General features: G+C 39.0%; 1 annotated feature.

Moving 5' to 3' along the window:
- Positions 737-1031: an enhancer, noted in NCBI's record as "tiled region #911; K562 Activating non-DNase unmatched - State 24:Quies". NCBI's record gives its function as "activates a minimal TATA promoter and a strong SV40 promoter by Sharpr-MPRA in K562 cells {active_cell/tissue: K562}" and the evidence as "EXISTENCE:reporter gene assay evidence [ECO:0000049][PMID:27701403]".

The raw sequence follows: 7543 nt of genomic DNA on the forward strand, positions 1-7543 counted from the left end.
ACTGTGAGTTTGACTTTTGTTTTTGTTTTTTTTTTTTTTAAGATTCCACATTAAAGTGGGGTCATGAAGTATTTATCTTCCTGTGTCTGGTTTATTTAAATTAGTATAATGTCCTCAATGTATCCTATACACAAAATTTTCTAGAAGAGTGAATCTCAAGTATTTTCACCACAAAAAATAAAAAAGAGAAGGGAACTATGAGAAGTTGTGGAAATTTTAATTAGCTTGATTGTGGTAATCATTTCACAATGAATACATGCATCAAAACATCATATTTTATACCTAAATATATAGCTTTTTTATTTGTCAATTATATGTCAATAAGATTGGGAAAAAATAACATAGGTAAAAACAAATACACAAAAATTAATTGTACATCTTTTCACAAGCAAGGAAGAAACTGAAGAAGAAATTAAGACATATTTTCAATAGAATAAAGGGGGCCGGGGCCAAGATGGTCTACGAGAAGCAGCAGCGATCAGAGGCTCCCATCGAAAAGAACCATATCAGCACGGGAACCCTGCACCAGCAACCGAGGTATCCAGGTTCTGTCATCAGAATTGACTAAGCAGCTGGCATGACCCACAGAGAGGAAGGAAGAGCAGTGTGGTGCGACAACCCACCTGAGAGCCACACTGGGCACGGAAGCCCCCACCCCCCAGCCAAGGAAGGCAGTGATTGAGTGTGCTACCCAGCCTGAGAAAACAGGCTTTTTCCATGGAACTGTGCAACTCATGAATCAGAAGTTCCCACTTGTGAGTCCATGTCACTGAGGCCTAGGGTCCCAACAGCCACGCAGCTAGAATCTGCTTAAGTCTGTGGAGCTCCCAGGGGGAGGGGCGACTAGCATCACAGCTGCAGCTGCCTGTTGTCTGAGCCATTTGAGCCTCTTCAGGGAGGGGCGACAGCCAACACTGGAACTGATAGTTGCCTAACACACTAAGCTCCCAGGGAAGGGGGAAGATGACAGCCATCCCTGTTGCTCCAGGCTATGCTTTTCCCCTGCTGGAGCCAGAGAGGCTGACGGCTTGGTCCCAAGAGGTCTTCCCCACAGCCCAACACACCAGCTGTGGCAGACTGTGGCTGGAGTGCCTCTTCAGTCCTGATCCTGACCCATCCCTCCTCACTGGATGGGGTTTCCCTGCAGGAACTCCAACAACTCCAACCAGGGGCTCAGAAACAGAATGCTGATCTCCCTGGGCCTGAGCCCTAGAGGGAGGGGCGGCCACAGTCTCTGTGGACCAGCAGGCCTAGTCTTTCTGCCTGCTAGTTCTGAGGAATCCAGGTCACCCAGGCAAGTGGGTTTCCCCCGCAGAGAAGCATACCACCTCCACCAAGGGACAGTCGAAGTGCTTGGTTAAATGTGTCCTCCTCCCTGTGCCACCCAACTGGGTGAGACCATCCAACAGGGGTTGTCAGACGCCTATTCAGGTGTGTTCCTACTGGCATCAGGTCGGTGCCCTCGAGGCCAGAGATCCCAGAGGAAGGAGCAGTCACCCATCTTTGCTGTTCTCCAGCCTCCTCGAGTGACATCTCCAGGTACAGGAGTGAACCAGATGAATAGGGCCTTAAGTGAACACCCAGCAAACTGCAGCAGCCCTACAGAAGAGGGACCTGACCATTGAAAGAAAAACAAACAAGCAGAAAGCAATAACAACAGCATCAACGAAAAAAGTCCCCACAAAATCCCCATCCAAGGATCAGCAGCCTCAAAGATCGATACTAGACAAACTCATGAAGATGAGAAAGAATTAATGAAAAAAAGCTGAAAACTCAAAAGGCCAAAGTGCCTTTTCTCCTCCAAATGATCCCAACACCTCTCCAGCAAGGGTGCAGAATTGGACAGAGGATGAGATGGACAAATTGACAGAAGTAGGCTTCAGTAGGTGGGTAATGACAAACTCCCCTGAGCTAAAGGAGCATGTTCTAACCCAATGCAAAGAAGCTAAGAACCTTGATAAAAGGTTACAGGAGCTGCTAACTAGAATAACTACTTCAGAGAGGAACATAAATGACCTGATGGAGCTGAAAAACAGCACCAGAACTTTGTGAAGCATGCACAAGTATCAATAGCTGAATCAACCAAGCAGAAGAAAGGATATCAGTGTTTGAAGACCATCTTGCTGAAATAAAGTACGCAGGCAAGATTAGAGAAAAAAAGACTCAAAAGGAATGAACAAAACCTCTGAGAAACATGGGACTAGGTAAAAAGACTGAACCTGCAATTGTTTGGAGTACCTGAAACAGATGGGGAGAATGGAACCAAGTTGGAAAACACACTTCAGGGTATTATCCAGGAGAACTTGCCCAACCTAGAAAGACAGGCCAACATTCAAATTCAGGAAATACAGAGAACACCACTAAGATACTCCATGAGAAGATCAAACCCAAGACACATAATCATCAGAATCTCCAAGGTCAAAATGAAGAAATAAATGTTAAGGGCAGCGAGAGAAAGGCCAGGTCACCTACAAAGGGAAGCCCATCAGACTAACAGCGAACCTCTCAGCAGACACCCTACAAACCAGAAGAGAGTGGGGGCCAATATTCAACATTCTTAAAGAAAAGAATTTTCAACCCCGAGCTTCAAATCTATCCAAACTAAGCTTCAGAAGTGAAAGATAAATAGAATCCTTTCAAGACAAGCAAATGCTGAGGAATTTTGTCACCACCAGGACTGCCTTGCAAGAGCTATTGAAGAAAACACTAAATATGGAAAGGAAAAACCAGTACTAGCCACTTCAAAAACACTAAACTATAAAGACCAATGACACGATGAAGAAACTGCATCAACTACTGTGCAAAAAAAAAAACCAAATAACGTCATGATGACGGGATTAAATTCACACACAACATTACTAACCTTAAATGTAAATGGGTTATATGCCCCAAATAAAAGACACAGACCGGAAAATTGAATAAAGAGTCAAGACCTATTGATTGGTGTGATGTATTGAGGAGACACATCTCACATGCAAAGATACACATAGGCTCAAAATAAAGGGGTGGAGCAAAATTTACCAAACAAATGGAAAGCAAAAAAAAAAAAAAAAAAAAAAAAAAGCAGGGGTTGCAATCCTAGTCTCTGACAAAACAGACTTTAACCCAACAAAGATCGGAAAAGACAAAGAAAGGCATTACATAATGATAAAGGGATCAATTCAACAAGAAGAGCTAACTATCCTAAATATATATGCACCTAATACAGGCGAAACCATATTCATAAAACAAGTTCTTACAGATCTACAAACTTAGACTCCCACACAATAACAGTGGGAGATTTTAATGCCCTACTGTCAATATTAGACAGATCAACAAGACAGAAAATTAAAAAATAGATATTCAGGACTTGAACTCAGGTCTGGATCAAGCAGACCTAATAGACATCTACAGAACTCCCACCCCAAAACAATGGCATATGCATTTTTCTCATGGCACTTATTCTAAAACTGACCACACAGCTGGAAGTAAAACACTCCTCAGCAAATGCAAAAGGACTGAAATCATAACAAACAGTCTCTCAGACCACAGTGCAATCAAATTAGACTCAGGATTAGGAAACTCACTCAAAACCACATGACTACATGGAAGTTAAACAACCTGCTCCTGAATGGCTCCTGGGTAAATAATGAAATTAAGGCAGAAATCAAGAATTTATTTGAAACCAATGAGAGTAGAGACAACGTACCAGAATCTCTGGGACACAGCTAAAGGAGTGCTGAGAGGGAAATTTATAGCAGTAAATGCCAACATCAGGAAACTAGAAAAATCTCAAATCGATACCCTAACATCACAATTAAAAGAGCTAGAGAAACAAGAGCAAACAAATCCAAAAGCTAGCAGAAGACAAGAAATAACTAAGATCAGAGCAGACTGAAAGAGATAGAGACACAAAAAACTCTTCAAAAAATCAATGAATCCAGGAGCTGATGTTTTGAAAAAATTAACAAAATAGACTGCTAGCTAGGCTAATAAAGAAGAAAAGAGATAAGATTCAAATAGACACAATATAAAATGATAAAGGGAATATCACACTGACCCCACAGAAATACAAACTACCATCAAAGATTACTATAAACAACTCTATGCAAATAAACTAGAAAATCTAGAAGAAATTGATAAATTCTTAGGCACATACACCCTCTCAAGACTAAACCAGGAGGAAGATGAATTTTTGAATAAACCACTAACAAGTTCTGAAATTGAGGCAGTAATTAATAGACTACCAACCAAAAAAAGCCCAGGACCAGACAGATTCACAGTCGATTTCTACCAGAGGTACAAAGAGGAGCTGGTATCACTCCTTCTTAAACTATTTCAAACAGTTAAAAGGAGGGACTCCTCCATAACTCACTTTATGAGGCCAGCATCATCCTGATAGCAAAACCTGGCCAAGACATAACAAAAAAAAGAAAACTTAAGGCCAATATCCCTGATGAACATCGATGCAAAAATCCTCAATAAAATACTGGCAAAGCAAATCCAGCGGCACATCTAAAAGCTTATCCACCACAATCAAGTTGGTTTCATCCCAAGGATGGGAGGCTGGTTCAATATACCCAAATCAATAAACGTAGTCCATTATATAGACAGAACCAATGACAAAAACCATATGATCATCTCAATAGATGCAGAAAAGGCCTTTGATAAAATTCAACATCCATTCATGTTAAAAACTTTTAATAAACTAGGTATTTATGGAACCTATCTCAAAATAATAAGAGCTATTTATGACAAACCCACAGCCAATATCAAACTGAATGCAAAAAAGCTGGAAGTATTCCCTTTGAAAACTTGCACAAGACAAGGATGCCCTCTCTCACCACTTCTATTCAACATGGTATTGGAAGTTTTGGCCAGGGCAATCAGGCAAGAGAAAGAAATAAAGGGTATTCAAATAGGAAGAGAGGAAGTCAAATTGTCTCTGTTTGCAGACAACGTGATTCAATATTTAGAAAACCCAATCTTCTCTGCCCAAAAACTCCTCAAGCTGATAAGCAAATTATGCAGTCTCAGGATACAAAATCAATGTGCAAAAATCACAAGCATTCCTATACACCAACAATAAACAAGCATAGAACCAAATCATGAATAAGCTCTCATTCACAACTGCGACAAAAAGAATAAAATACCTAGGAATACAGCTAACAAGGGATGAGAAGGACCTCTTCAAGGAGAACTGCAAACGACTGCTCAAGGAAATAAGAGAGGACACAAACAAATGGGAAAACATTCCATCCTCATTGACAGGAAGAATCAATATCGTGAAAATGGCCACACTTCTCAAAGTAATTTATAGATGCAATGCTATTCCCATCAAACTACGATTGACATTCTTCACAGAATTAGACAAAAATTATTTAAATTTAATATGGAACCAAAAAAGAGCCCGTATAGCCAAGACAATCCTAAGCAAAAAGAATAAAGCTGGAGGCATCACACTACCTGACTTCAAACTGTAATACAAGGCTACAGTAACCAAAACCGCATGGTACTGGTACCAAAACAGACATACAGACCACTGGAACAGAACAGAGACCTCAGAAATGACACTACATATCTACAACCATCTGATCTTTAACAAATCTGACAAAAACAAGCAATGGGGAAAGGATTCCCTATTTAATAAACAGTACTGGGAAAACTGGCGAGCCATATGCAGAAAACTGAAACAGTACCCATTCCTCACACTTTATATAAAAATGAACTTAAAATGGATTAAAGACTTAAATGTAAAACCCAAAACTGTAACAACCCTAGAAGAAAGCCTATGTAATAAGATTCAGGATATAGGCATGGGCAAATACTTCATGATGAAAATGCCAAAAGCAACTGCGACAAAAGCCAAAATTGACAAATGGGATCTAATTAAACTAAAGAGCTTCTGCACAGCAAAAACAATACAAAACAAAACAAAAAGTATCATCAGAGTGAACAAGCAACCTACAAAATTAGAGATAATTTTTGCAATCTACCCATTTGATAAAGGTCTAATATCCAGAATTTACAAGGAACTTTAACAAATTTACAAGAAAAAAAAACCTCATCAAAAGGTGGACAAAAGATATGAAAAGACACTTCTTAAAAGAAGACATTTATGTGGCCAAGAAATATATGAAAAAAGCTCAAGATCACTAATCATTAGATAAATGCAAATGAAAACAACAATGAGATATCATTTCACACCTGTCAGAATGGCAATTATTAAAAAGTCAAGAAACAATAGATGCTCATGAGGCTGTGGAGAAATAGGAAGGCTTTCACACCGTTGGTGGGAATGTAAATTAGTTCAACCATTGTGGAAGACAGTATGGTGATTCCTCAAGGATCTAGAACCAGAAATACCATTTAACCCAGTAATCCCATTACTGGGTATGTACCCAAAGGAATATAAATCATTCTACTATAAAGACACATGCATACGTATGTTTGTTGCAGCATTATTTACATTAGCAAAGGCATGGAACCCACCCAAATATCCATCAATGATAAACTGGATAAAGAAAATGTGGCACATATACACCATGGAATACTATACAGCCATAAAAAGGAATGAGATCATGTCCTTTGCAGGGACAGGAAAGAAGCTGGAAGCCATCATTCTCAGCAAACTAACACAGGAACAGAAAACCAAACACCACATGTTCTCACTCATAAGTGGAAGTTGAACAATGAGAACACATGGACACAGGGAGTAAAACAACACATACCAGGGCCAGATGGGGGTGGGAGGTGAAGGGAGGGAGAGCATTAGGACAAATAGCTAATGCATATGGGGCTTAAAACTTAGATGACAGGTTGGTAGGTGCAGCAAATCACCACGGCACACGTATACCTATGTAACAAACCTACACATTCTGCACTTTTATCCGGGAACTTAATGTAAAATAAAATTTGAAAAAGAATAAACTATTTGGTAATAAATTTAACAACAAGTTGCAAAACGTACACTAAAAACTACAAAGTGTTGTTGAATGAAATTATGGAAGACCACAATGAATAGAAAGAAATGTGCTTATGGAGTGGAAGATTCAGTATTACTGAGAGGGTAATACTTTGCAATTTGATCTACTCGCTCAATCTAGTCCCTATCGAAAACCCAGTTACTCTGTTTTTTTTTGTTTGTTTGTGTTCAGAATAGATAAGCTGATCCTGAAGTTCATATGCAAGTGCAAGGAAATAAGAAGTCAAAATAATATTGAAAAAGAACAAACTTAAAGCATTCACACATCCTAACTACAAAACTTGCTAAAATCTATGGTAGTCAAGAGAGTGTGGTACTAAAATAAAGATAATTATGTGTATCATTGGAATAGAATGGAGAGTCCACAAATTAATTCTTACATTTATGATTAACAGATTTTAAACATGAGTGCCAAGAAAATTTAATGAGAAAAAAATAGTGTTGTCAACTTCATGGTGTCAGGAAAACTGGATGTCCATATGAGAAGAAAATAAAGTTAGGCCTCTATTTTACAGCACAAATAAAAATTGATTAAAAATTTATCATAGATTTAAATGTAAGAGTTATACCTATAAAACT

Source organism: Homo sapiens, chromosome 7, assembly GCF_000001405.40.
Source record: "Homo sapiens chromosome 7, GRCh38.p14 Primary Assembly".
Lineage (NCBI taxonomy): Eukaryota > Metazoa > Chordata > Mammalia > Primates > Hominidae > Homo > Homo sapiens.